This window comes from Homo sapiens, chromosome 21 (assembly GCF_000001405.40).
Source record: "Homo sapiens chromosome 21, GRCh38.p14 Primary Assembly".
NCBI lineage: Eukaryota > Metazoa > Chordata > Mammalia > Primates > Hominidae > Homo > Homo sapiens.
This window is the reverse complement of record NC_000021.9, coordinates 14,498,118-14,511,878: the sequence shown is the minus strand read 5'-3', so window position 1 is coordinate 14,511,878 and position 13,761 is coordinate 14,498,118. Positions and strand designations below refer to the sequence as shown.

At 37.4% G+C, this 13,761-nt stretch overlaps 1 protein-coding gene and 1 long non-coding RNA gene across 10 annotated transcripts in view; one reads left to right on the top strand and one right to left on the bottom strand.

Moving 5' to 3' along the window:
* LOC124905053 (uncharacterized) overlaps positions 1 to 13,761 on the bottom strand; it is a 61,200-nt gene that overhangs the window by 26,650 nt on the left and 20,789 nt on the right. The gene's annotated exons all lie outside the window — the stretch shown is intronic.
* SAMSN1 (SAM domain, SH3 domain and nuclear localization signals 1) overlaps positions 1 to 13,761 on the top strand; it is a 174,190-nt gene that overhangs the window by 147,539 nt on the left and 12,890 nt on the right. For all 9 annotated transcript variants that reach the window (NM_001395858.1, NM_001395857.1, NM_001256370.2 and 6 more), the window contains 3 exons: positions 1,418 to 1,569; positions 11,144 to 11,350; positions 13,287 to 13,437. In NM_001395858.1, coding sequence (NP_001382787.1) covers positions 1,418 to 1,569; positions 11,144 to 11,350; positions 13,287 to 13,437 — 510 coding nt within the window. The remainder of the gene's footprint in view (positions 1 to 1,417; positions 1,570 to 11,143; positions 11,351 to 13,286; positions 13,438 to 13,761) is intronic.

Genomic DNA, 13,761 nt, shown 5'->3' with positions numbered 1-13,761 from the left:
GCAAATAATAAATGGTAGGACTATGACCAATTAGGTGGCAAAAAGGGATCCAAAGTAACCAACAAGGATTTTCTAATGAAGATTAATATTTTTTCTAAGAAGGAAATCACTCAGGATTTAGTCAAATTTCCAGCTACAATATTTGGATGAAACGATTGATATTGCAGGGTGCCTTATGACTTTTTGTATGTAGACTGTTATACATCTCTCTAATCTTTTCAGGGTTTTTAAATGTTTTTGCAAAGTTTGTTTCCCATTTCCTTTTAAATCAACTGCTTCTGTTATCTGAAGATGTATGGCAAGACCAGATGTTTCAAATATCCTGAGTTTTATTCCTATTTTCCTATTGGCTGTAGAATAGTTATTTTGTGACAAAAGCTAACACAGAAACATTTAAAGGATGTTTTTTGCATGTATGAAATTCAGATCTCATTAGTATTAATTTCTCCTGGAAGTTTAAAAACTCTATATTGTGATGCTGGATGTGGGGAGAATTTTATTAACTAGAATGGACTGCGAAAAGCCCTGGTCTGGAGTTGTCATGGAAGGGAGGGTGTGAAGAGATGGTGGTCCATTTTACCATTACTGTATACCACTTAATTTATGTGATTAGATGCAACTCATCTGTGTTTTACATCAGTTCACATACAATGTGGAGCATCTTGAAGGAGCTATACCTTATTTCCACAATGCATGGTAGTGAAACGTGGGCTATTCCCTCACTGAACAGAGTGATGAAAGGCTTGACTGAAGGAAGATGTGAAGTGGTGACTGAGTATGAGGGTGGGGGAGGAGAATTACTTCCACTGGGAGCCATTCTTGTTCCCAGACAGGTGACAAAATGCTATCTCTTTTCTCTGTTTCCTGAAGTTTAAGATCAAAAATAAGAGGACCAGACAACAAGGATTTGGAGCAGTTTTAAAGGCCCAGTTTAGAAGTTTCAAACCACATGGGGATGCAGATATTCAGACACACTTTCTCCTTCCCTTGCACTCATACAACAAGCAAAAGTGCCACCTGTTATGACAGAAATATTGCCTCAAAATGGCCTTTGGTACACAGTGGGAACTCTGGGGAGGAAATTGTAGGGAACTTTGTAATGTGATGCTTTTGGCAAGTGACCAATACTTAGTACATTGTGCACTGGATCCGATTACGGAGACTGAAGTGAGAGGGTACTTGGGTTAGTGATAGAGGAGAGTGGCCAGATTGGCAGGAAAAAGGTTCGAAATGGCTCAGAGGACAGACGTCACTGATGGAGAGTAACTGGAAGACAGACACCAGGATGGGTCAATTAGAACTTCCTCAGGAGCCTGGCATCCAGTGTTCCAGCATTATCAATACTTAGTTGTGTCCAGATGATGATTCAGAATGTTATAAGTCTTCCATGACAACTGTGAACTTCTGCTTTCATCAGGTGGCATAACAAGCTGTTCAGATGGTACAAGTAACCGGGACAGCTTTCGACTGGATGACGATGGCCCCTATTCAGGACCATTCTGTGGCCGTGCCAGAGTGCATACGGATTTCACGCCAAGTCCCTATGACACTGACTCCCTCAAAATCAAGGTGAGAGGACATCATATCCCACCTTCTGAATGGTCTGTCAAATGCTGATTATATGATCTGTTTCAGCAAGTATAAGCAGTGGGAAGACAGTGTGAGTGTGTTCTTCCCAACAGTAGAAGTGGAGGCTAGCTTACAGTACTAAGACTTTTTTTCTTTTTTTTTTTTCTTTTTTTGAGACGGAGTCACTCTGTTGCCCAGGCTGGAGTGCAGTGGCGCAATCTCCACTCACTGCAACCTCCACCTCCCGGGTTCACGCCATTCTCCTGCCTCAGCCTCCCGAGTAGCTGGGACTACAGGCGCCCGCCACCACGCCCGGCTAATTTTTTGTATTTTTAGTAGAGACAGGGTTTCACCGTGTTAGCCAGGATGGTCTCAATCTCCTGACCTCGTGATCCGCCCGCCTCGGCCTCCCAAAGTGCTGGGATTACAGGCGTGAGCCACCACGCCTGGCCCAGTGCTAAGAATTTGAATAAAATATGTGAGGTGGAGTCGGGGTATCAGTCTGTTCAGGCTGTTAGTGTAAGTTGTTATTATGTAGATGATTCAGGTTCAGAGTCTATCAGGGAGGAAGGAATTCTCTCCATTTTCCTGAAAACCAAAAGCCTCACAGTTGCTGAAGGTGCCCAACTCTGCCTGATACTTGCAGGAATAGAAATAATGAAGAGAGAGGGAGACAAGGTGCAAATGTCAGGCGAGAGCTGAGCAGAGCAAAGGCCTTGGGAACCAGACTTGGCAGGGCAATTCCAGTATTTTTTATTTTTATTTTTATTTCCATAGGTTATTGGGGAACAGGGGTGTTTGGTTACATGGGTAAGTTCTTTAGCGGTTATTTGTGAGACCCATCACCCAAGCAGTATACACTGCACTCTATTTGTAGTAATTTATCCCTCACCACCTTCTCACCCTTTCCCCAAGTCCCCAAAGTCCGTTGGGTCATTCCTATGCCTTTGCATCTTCATAGCTTAGCTCTTGCTTATGAGTGAGAACATACGATGTTTGGTTTTCCATTGCTGAGTTACTTTACTTAGAATAATAATGTCCAGTCTCATCTTGGTCACTGCAAATGCCATTAATTCATTCCTTTTTATGGCTGAGTAGTATTCCATTGTATATATATACACCATGGTTTTCTTTTCCTTTCCTTTCCTTTCTTTTCTTTTCTTTTCTTTTTTCTTTTCTTTTGTTTTTTTCTTTTTTGATGGAGTCTTGCTCTGTCACCAGGCTGGAGTGCAGTGGCACAATCTTGGTTCACTGAAACCTCCGCCTCCTGGGTTCAAGCGATTCTCCTCCCTCAGCCTCCCGACTAGCTGGAGGCCACCGCACCCAGCTAATTTTTGTATTTTTAGTAGAGATGGGGTTTCAGCATGTTGGCCAGGATGGTCTCGATCTCTTGACCTCGTGATCCACCCACCTCAGCCTCCCAAAGTGCTGGGATTACAGGCATGAGCCACCACGCCCAGCCTATACCACAGTTTCTTTATCCACTCACTGATTGATGGTCATTTGGGTTGGTTCCATATTTTTGCAATTGCAAATCATGCTGCCACAAACGTGTGTGCAAGTATCTTTTTTGTATAATGACTTCTTTTCCTCTGCATAGATACCTAGCAGTGGAATTGCTGAATCAAATGGTCGTTCTACTTTTAGTTCTTTAAGGAATCTCCACACTGTTTTCCATAGTGGTTGTACTAGTTTACACTCCCACCAGCAGTGTAGAAGTGTTCCTTTTTCAGTACATCCATGCTAACATCTGCAATTTTTTAATTTTTTGATTGTGGCCATACTTGCAGGGGTAAGCTGGTATCACATTGTGGTTTTGATTTGCATTTCCCTCATCATTAGTGATGTTGAGCATTTTTTCATGTGTTTGTTGGCCATTTGTGTATCTTCTTTTGAGAATTGTCTATTCATGTCCTCAGCCTACTTTTTGATGGGATTGTTTGTTTTTTTTTCTTGTTGATTTGAGTTCATTGTAGATTTTGGATATTAGTCCTTTGTCAGATGTATAGATTGTGAAAATTTTTTCCCACCCTGTGGGTTGTCTGTTTGCTCTGCTGACTGTTTCTTTTACCATGCAAAATCTCTTTAGTTTAATTAAGTCTCAGCAATTTAACTTTGTTTTTATTGCATTTGCTTTTGTGTTCTTGGTCATGAAATCCTTGCCTAAGCCAATGTCTAGAAAGGTTTTTCCAATGTTATCTTCTAGAAGTTTTATAGTTTCAGATCTTAGATTTAAGTCGTTAGTCCATCTTGAGATGATTTTTCTATAAGGTGAGAGTTGTGGATCCAGTTTCATTCTCCTACATATGGCTAGCCAGTTATCCTAGCACCATTTGTTGAAAAGGGTGTCCTTTCCCCACTTTATGTTTTTGTTTGCTTTTTCAAAAATCAGTTGGCCGTTAAGTATGTGGATTTATTTCTGGGTTCTCTTTTCTGTTCCATTGGTCTATGTGCCTATTTTTTTTTTTTTTACCAGTACCATGCTGTTTTGGTGACTATAGCCTATAGTATAGTTTGAAATTAGGTAATGTGATGCCTCCAGATTTGTTCTTTTTGCTCAAGTTTGCTTTGGCTATGCAAGCTCTTTTTTGGTTCCATATGAATTTTAGAATTGTTTTTTCTAATTCTGTGAAGAACGATGGTGGTATTTTGATGGGAAATCTGTTGAATTTGTAGATTGCTTTTGACAGTATGGTCCTTTTCACAATATTGATTCTACCTATCCATGGGCATAGAACATGTTTCCATTTGTTTGTGCCATCTATGATTTCTTTCAGCAGTGCTTTGTACTTTTCCTTGTGGAGGTCTTTCACCTCCTTAGTTAGGCATATTCCAAAGTTTTGTTTTTGTTTTTGTTTTTGCAGCTATTGTAAAAGGGGTTGAGTTCTTGATTTGATTCTTAGCTTGATCACTGTTAGTGTATAAAAGAGCTACTGATTTGTGTACGTTAATTTTGTATCCAGAAACTTTGCTGAATTCTTTTATCAGTTCTAGGAGCTTCCTGGAAGAGTCTTTATGGTTTTCTAAGTAAATGATCATATCATCAGAAAACAGTGACAGTTTGACTTCATCTTCAGTGATTTAGATGCCCTTTATTTCTTTCTCTTGTCTGATTGCTCTGGCTAGGACTTCCAGTACTGTGTTGAAGAGGAATGGTGAGAGTGGGTATCCTTATCTTGTTCCAGTTCTCAAAGGGAATGCTTTCACCTTGTGCCCATTCAGCATTATGTTGACTGTGGGTTTGTCATAGATGGCTTTTATTATATTGAGGTATGTCGCTTGTATGCCTATTTTGCTGAGTTTTAATCATGAAGAAATGCTGGATTTTGTCTAATGCTTTTTCTGCATCTATTGAGATGATCATGTGATTTTTGTTTTTAATTCTGTTTATGTGGTGTATCACATTTATTGAAGTGCATATATTAAACCCTCCCAGCATCCCTGGTATTAAACCCACTTGATCATGGTGGGTTATCTTTTTGATATGTTGTTGAATTCAGTTAGCTAGTATTTTGTTAAGAATTTTAGCATCTATGTTCATCAGGGATATTGGTCTGTAGTTTTCTTTTTTGGTTACCCTCTTTCCTGGTTTTGGTATTAGGGTGATACTGGCTTCATAGAATGATGTAGGGAGGGTTCCTTCTTTCTCTATCTTGTGGGATAGTGTCAATAGGATTGGTACCAATTCTTCTTCGAATGTCTGGTAGAATGCTGCTGTGAATAGGTCTGGTCCTCAACTTTTTTTGTTGGTAATTTTAAAATTACCATTTCAATATCATTGATTGTTATTGGTCTATTCCGGGTATCTAATTTTTCCTGATTTAAGCTAGGAGAGTTGTATCTTTCCAGGAATTTATCCATGTCTTCTAGGTTTTCTAGTTTATGCATGCAAAGGTGTTCGTAGTGGCCTTGAATGATCTTTTGTATTTCTGTAGTGTCAGTTGTAATACCCCGTTTCATTTCATATTGAGCTTATTTGAATTCTTACTAATGGTCTATTAATTTTATTCATCTTTTCAAAAAACAGCTTTTTGTTTCATTTATCTTTCATATTTTTTTGTTTCAATTTTATTTAATTCTGCTCTGACCTTGGTTATTTCCTTTCTTCTGCTGTGTTTGAGTTTGGTTTGTTCTTGTTTCTCTAGTTCCTTGAGGTGTCACCTTAGATTGTCCATTTGGGCTCTTTCAGACCTTTTGATGTAGGTGTTTAGGGCTATGCACTTTCCCCTTAGCACCCCCTTTGCTGTGTCCCAGAGGTTGTCATAGGTCATGTCACTATTGTTGTTCAGTTCAAAGAATTTTTTAATTTCCATCTTGATTTCATTTTTCACCCAGGGATCATATATTTGCATGGTTTTGAAGGTTCCTTTTGCAGTTAATTTCCAGTTTTATTCCATTGTAGTCTGAAAGAGTGCTTGATATAATTTCAATTTTTTTATATTTATTGAGATTCATTTTATGTCCTATCATATGGTCTATCTTAGAGAAAGTTCCATGTGTTGTTGAATAGAATGTATATTCTGAGGTTGTTGGATGGAATGTTCTGTATGTATCTGTTAAGTCTATTTGTTCCAGGGTATAATTTAAATCCATTGCTTCTTTGTTGACTTTCTGTCTTGATCACCTGTCTAGTGCTGTCACTGGAGTACTGAAGTTCCCCACTATTACTGTGTTGCTGTCTATCTCATTTCTTAGGCCTATTAGTAATTGTTTTACAAATTTGAGAGCTCCAGTGTTAGGTGCATACATGTTTAGGATTGTGATATTTTCCTGTTAGACAAGGCCTTTTATCATTGTATAATGTCCCTATTTGTCTTTTTCAACTTCTGTTGCTTTAAAGTTTGTTTTGTCTGATATAACAGTAACTATTCCTGCTCACTTTTGGTGTCCATTTGAATGAAATATCTTTTTCCACCCCTGTACCTTAAGTTTGTGTGAGTCTTTATGTGTTAGATGAGTCTCTTGAAGGCAGCATATAGTTTGTGAAATCTTATCCATTCTGCAATTCTGTAACTTTCAAGTGGAGAATTTAGGCCATTTAATTCAGTGTTAGTATTGAGATATGAGGTACTATTCCATTCATCATGCTATTTGTTGCCTGTATACATTTTTTTTGGTTTTTTGTGTTTTTTAAATTGTATTTTTGTTTGATAGGTCCTGTGAGATTTATGCTTCAAAGAGGTTCTGTTTTGATGTGTTTCCAGGATTTGTTTGAAGATTTAGAGCTCCTTTTAGTGGCTTGGTAGTGACAAATTCTCTCAACATTTGTTTGTCTGAAAAAGACTGTATCTTTCCTTCATATATGAAGTTTGATTTTGCTGGATACAAAATTCTTGGCTAATAATTGTCTTGTTTGAGAAGGCTGAAGACAGGGTCCCAATCCCTTCTAGCGTGTTGGGTTTCTGCTGAGAAATCTGCTGTTAATCTGATAGGTTTTCCTTTATGGGTTACCTGGTCCATTTGTCTCATTGCTCTTAAGATTCTTTCCTTTGTCTTAACTTCAGATAACCTGATGACAATGTGCCTAGGCAATCATCTCTTTGCAATGAATTTCCTAGGTTCGTGTTTCTTGTATTTGGATGTCTAGATCTCTAGCAAGGCCAGGGAAGTTTTCCTTGATTATTCCTCCAAATACGTTTTCCCAACTTTTAGATTTCTCTTCTTCCTCAGGAACACTGATTATTCTTATGTTTGGTCATTTAATATAATCCCAGACTTCTTGGAGGCTTTGTTCATATTTTCTTATTCTTTTTCTTTGTCTTTGTTGGTTTGGATAATTTCAAAGACCTTGCCTTTGAGCTCTGAATTTCTTTCTTCTACTTATTCAATTCTGTTGCTGGAACTTTCCAGAGCATTTTGCATTTCTATAAGCATGTCCATTGTTTCCTGAAGTTTTGATTGTTTTTTATTTATGCTATCTATCCTTGAATATTTCTCCCTTCACGTCTTGGATCGTTTTTTGGATTTCCTTACCTTGCGCTTCACCTTTCTCTGGTGCCTCCTGGTTAGTTTAATAACTAACCTCCTGAATTCTTTTTAAGGTAAATCAGGGATTTCTTCTTGGTTTGGATTCATTGGTGGTGAGCTAGTGTGATTTTTTTGATGGTGTTAAAGAAGCTTGTTTTGTCATGTTATCAGAGTTGGTTTTCTGGCTCCTTCTCATTTGGGTAGTTTCTGTCAGAGGGAAGGTCTAGGACTGAAGGCTGTTGTTCAGATTCTTTTGTCCCATGGGGTGTTCCCTTGATGTAGTACTCTCCCCCTCTTCCTATGGATGAGGCTTCCTGAGAGCAATCTGTAATGATTGTTACCTGTCTTCTACATCTAGCCACCCAACTAGTCTACCAGGCTCCAGGCTGGTACTAAGGGTTGTCTGCACAGAGTCTTATGATGTTAACTGTCTGTGGGCCTCTCAGCTGTGGATGCCAGCACGGTATTTAGATTGTCTCCTGTTTACTGAAGGAGGAATTCACTTCCTTCAGGGGATCTGTGAGTCCTCCCAGGTTTCCTAATTTATTTCTGCAATCGTTCTGGAGCCAAAATTCATCATGTGAGCATCCACACACTCCTCTGCTCGAGTTGGAGCTGCAATCTGGTCCTGCCTGCCGTCTGCCATGATGCCCCGGAAATGTCTAGTACTTTTTAAGTTGGTTGCTATGAGTAACCAGAGACCTTTCTCCTGGTGATATTCCCTCCTGAATTCCCCCTTCTTACTCTTATCCTCTGTATTCATTCTCTATTGCTGTGTAACACATTACCTCAAGCTCAGAGGCATCAAACAACACAAATGTATTGCTGGCTCACAGTTTCTGTAGGTCATAATTATGGGCTCAACTGAATTCTAAGAAAGCTGTGATCTCACCTGAGGCTCAGGGTTCTCTTCTGAGTTCACTGGCTTTTGACAGAATTCAGTTCCTTGTGGTTGTAGGACTAAGGACCCCATTTTCTTGCTGGATATCAACTGGAGTCCATTCTAAGCCTCTAGATTCCACCAGCCAAGGCCCTCTCTACAATACGGCAGTTGGCTCTTTCAGGATGAACAGGAAAAAGCTCACTCAGGCCTTAATCTTTTTTTTTAAGGGATCCTACCTGATTTGTCAGACCCATCAAGATAATCTCCCTTTCAGTTAACTCAAAATCAAATAATTCAGTACACTAAATGGATCTGCAAAGTCCCTCCTATTATATAAGGGTAACATAATCATGAGTGTGATATCCATCATTTTCATAGTCCTGCTCACACTCAAGGAGAGGGGTGAGTTACAATAGCACAAAGAGAAGAAGGTTTTGCGCTAAAAGAATTCATAGATGTTAAATTATTCCTTTCTAGTATCACAAAGTGCTAAAAGTCAAAGGGCATAAAGTATGAATTTTCTATATTGTTAACACTAAACCAATGTTAACTAATAATTATGATATATTATGGAGTATTTATATTATTATTTAACATTTAAGGTCTTCAGCCCTTCTCTTGATCCCTTCCATGCTATTAAATCAGAGTGAGCTCAACTGGAGAATTAAAAATGCACTGTTCCCCACAGTAAGCTCCTTAGTTATGTATATGGAATGATCTGATGTCTAAGTTCAAGTCTTGGGGAAAGGGTACCCATAACCTAGTAACCATTGTGGGAGAGAGCAGTAGAAGGAAATAAACACAACACAGTTTGACTCAGGATAGTCTTTCAACTTCCGTACAATACCGTGCCAAGGGACCACTGCTGCTGCTGCCTGAGGTGAGTTTTTGTGGAGCTCTTACAGGACACAACAGGAATTCCCCAGTTACCCATGAAAATTGAAATACTATTATTTCCATCAAGGGTCTTATCCAAAATGAAATTGAGTCTTTGCTTGATGACCTGTGGGCTTTCCTGGAATGCACAGGTATATACCTTTAAAGGATAAAGTTGCAAATTTACAAGTTTCAAGGATAATAGGAAGGATGCAGTGAAGGGTTTCCATGCCTAGAAACTTTCCAGAGCTTCAGGAGAGCTTCTCAGTCTCCCTAGCTGATACCATCCAACCTATGATTTGATTCCCTTTCATTAAAGGCAGAAAGCCTAACAGATCACAGGACTAGACAGACAGATGATCACAAGATAGACCAGTTAGTTCAGTCATGGTGAATTATACCATTACAAGTAAAATTTGTTTTTTAGATGGAAGAACACACATTCTCAGAGCAGCAGGAAAAAATATTTTTAGTAGCAGGCTTGATGCTTAGTTTGTTTGAGGATAGACACTTAAAAAGGGCAAAAATATTAGAATCTGTAAAGTCCTCTCTGGGGCAGAAAGTTTTAAGTCTCAAAGGAGGAACTATAACTCTTGAACATAGGCATCCTATTTGCATAGAAATAAATTTTCTTTACAAATAAATATCCCCATGAGGTTTTCTACCCTTGCCAATAACTGGCAGCCTATAGTTAATTATGGTCTTAGATGTGAGTAAAGAAAAAGACCAATTGGTTTGTCCATACTAATATGATTCATTCATACTTCAATCTAAACTTTGCTGTGAGCTCAATCTAAATGTTATCTCTTCTTAATAAGAGGAGAGCATGAATACCTTAAAAAGAATTAAGTAGCATAATTTATCCTTAGTGTACACATACTTTTATGTGAATTCTGCAAAATTTCTTTATTTTAGATGAATGAAATACTTGAAATGGGTTTATTTTATACCATAGATAAATTTTTCAGATGCACTAGAAATATATAGAGTAACAGACTTCTCTTTCATCTCCTTCCCCAGCTAGGGAGCACCTCCTGGAATGATAACTTGAGCTTTGTTACATATATATTACTTTGACAGTATAAATAAAAAGAGCATCAATTTTTGGTTAAGATAACTTGAACTTGAGTTCTGGTTCTGCCGTTAACTTCCTGCAAGCTTTTGAGAAGTCGTTTAATATCTCTGTTTCTTTTTCTGTAATATCTACATTAATAATGATGATACCTCCTTTATGTATCTAAGAAGTGTGTTGTGAGCAAAAATAACTTAGAGTAGGCAAAAGTGTTTTGTAAATTATACTGCAGACTCTACAGTTATAAGTTGATAAATTGATACAATAACAGAAACAGAAACATGTCATCAAACTATGTGAGAGCTTTTTGTCAAGAATGTTGAAGTTTTCTTCATTATAACTAGTAAGTAACTTCTTTGAATTTTTTTTAAGATAGGATCTCACTGTGTTGCCCAGGCTGGAGTGCAGTGACATGATTACAGCTCACTGCAGCTTTGAACTCCTCCCACCTCAGTCTACAGATACATGCTACCACGCCAGGCTAATTAAAAGAAAAAAATTGTAGAGATGGGATCTCACTTTGTCACCCAGGCTGGTCTCAAACTCCTGGCCTCATGCAATCCTCCCGCCTTGGCCTCCCAAAGTGCTGGGATTATAAGCATGACCCACCATGCCACCAGCCTGAACTTTTGAAGCAAGTGAATGTTTAGATTTGTTTCTGTTATATCTGAACCCCTTTAGCATAATGTCCTCATTATTCTAGTTTTCTATGATTTCATTCTTTCTATCAGTGAGGTTCTCTGAAATCTAATGTGTATGGATTTCTTTGCCCTTAGAAAGGAGACATCATAGACATTATTTGCAAAACACCAATGGGGATGTGGACAGGAATGTTGAACAATAAAGTGGGAAACTTCAAATTCATTTATGTGGATGTCATCTCAGAAGAGGAAGCAGCCCCCAAGAAAATAAAGGCAAACCGAAGGAGTAACAGCAAAAAATCCAAGACTCTGCAGGAGTTCCTAGAGAGGATTCATCTGCAGGTGAGCAAATCTGTGTTCTGTTTGCTTTTGGAAGCATGTAAATGGAAACACCGAAGGGAGTGGATCAGTATTTGTGTTGCATTGCTTAAAAATACAAGTCTTGCAAGCAAAGGAAAACCTGTTTTCCTAGAAGAGCTCTTATTTCTCTTTTATTACTTTTTTATGCAAGGACAAGTCTTGATATAATATCCCTTGGACTATACCTTAATAGTATTTAGCAGTGACAATAGAGATTGATGTTGAGAAAATGCAGTGAAAAATGAAAAATATCTAGGAGAATAAAAAGCCCTAAGAAAATGTCTAAACGAGAATGGTAAAGAGAGTATAAGGAATAAAGTAAGTCTAAAAAAGTGAAAGGAAAAATGAGAAGGGAATTGTATTTTCTACCAAGCAGAGATCAAAATCAAGTTGAGAGAAGATAACTGAATATAATCATTTTAAAAGTAATTTGAGGGAAACGGTGATCATCAAGCCGCATAATGATTGTGTTAAGGAAACTGTGTTGTCTGTATCTGTAACCCAATTATGATTTTCTTGTTATATTACCAAAATTCTTTTGAAATATCTACCTTGTTAAATAGTGTGTACATACACTACACCTAGTATCAATGAATTTACAGTTTTGCAATCCATTTCTAAAATTAACTCAGCAGCACTTTGATAGTTTTCAAAATTCACCAAGACAATAGCCAATTACACTTTTCTTAATTGTTTTTTTCTGAATTATCTAGTTATGTTCCTGTCTGTAAACACACTATCTAAGCCTTCCTATATTACTCTTGGTGCACCTCAAATGGGATATTCCTATGAGAATGTACGGGTTAGCATCTTGCCTCTGAATCTTGTTCATTGTGTGACCTGTGAGAAAACCAAGGTCTATGAGACTGAAATGACTTCCCCAAGAATGCACAGTTAAATGGTTATATGTCAGAACAGGAAATTTTGTGTTCTTTATTCTAATTCAGTGCTAAGAATATACTTTTTTAAAGAAAGAATTGTCATTCTTCTTGCTTTTCTTCCTTTTTTTTTTTTTTTTTGTTAAAAAGGGGTGGTCATAAGTTCTCCCTGATTACTTAAAACTTTTAGACTTCCTCTTATTCTATTTTAGTAATTAAAATAAGGATATTGAAATTAGAGCAAGTAAAATAGGAGGAATCTGAAGAAGTTGAAAAAGCACTCAACTTCACTTAATATTTTTATTTTGTTTGAGAGGATAGAGGTTTCAAAATAACATACAGACTTTGAAATCGGAAACCTATGAATTTTAAACTAATACATATTGATTCAAATGACGGACAAAATATACATGCTGAGAAAACAATTCTTTCCCCAACTACAGTGCTTCTATGCTTAGTAAAAGCTTCCAATTAAATAGAAAGTCTCCAATTCTTTTGGTTTACATAATGCCTTTCAATCAAAATGCTACACCCACTTTTTTGTATAGAATTACATCTGTTTCAAACTCATTTTTTAACCTACCCCAAGAATGTTTTGAGAGTAGATGCTTTTGCAATCATGAAAACAAGAAGAGATGTAGATTCTGAAATATTGCTGTAGCATGCTACTCTGCTAGAGGCATTTTATTGATAGACTTAAAGTAATGCTAGTTCTGTCAATTTAGTTAGTTGAGAAGTGAAACATTTCCAAATGGGATGCATGATCCAACTATTTAATTTATCCATGATTTGGAATTGTATAGCTTAAGGTAATTATTTCTTCTTTACATTTGGCCTTCCAAAAGGCGAGAATTATACAACATAATCATTTAAGAGCCCTGGAGTTCATATGTCAGAAACGAATACAAGTGAAGTTAAGTAAAAGTTCTATTGGCACCTTTGGTCCCCATGTGCATCTCTATACTTTCTTTAAATCTAAAGAGAACTAAAAATAAAATATTTGAATCTGACTAATTTGCTTTATATTTTTTGTCTTACAGGAATACACCTCAACACTTTTGCTCAATGGTTATGAGACTCTAGAAGATTTAAAAGATATAAAAGAGAGTCACCTCATTGAATTAAATATTGAAAACCCAGATGACAGAAGAAGGTTACTATCAGCTGCTGAAAACTTCCTTGAAGAAGAAAGTAAGTGTGTACACCTACTCTTCTCCCCAGCTGATAATCAGTTTAATGTAAATAGTATAATCATTAGAAACAAAGCCCCAGTTTTATTTACTGAGATCATGAAAGCACGCTTTCCCATAAAATAGGTATTTTCATATAAGTTTGAAAACAATAACTCTGGTCAAATATGTAATTAGGAAAAGGAACTTATTTCCTTATTGGACTCAGGAAATGAAAGGACTTTTCTGGGTACCTCATTTCCACTCTGCAAAGCTATTAATTTACATGCAAGTGGATGCCTGCATTCCCAAAGACTGAGGGAGTTAGAGACAAGTATTTAGTAAC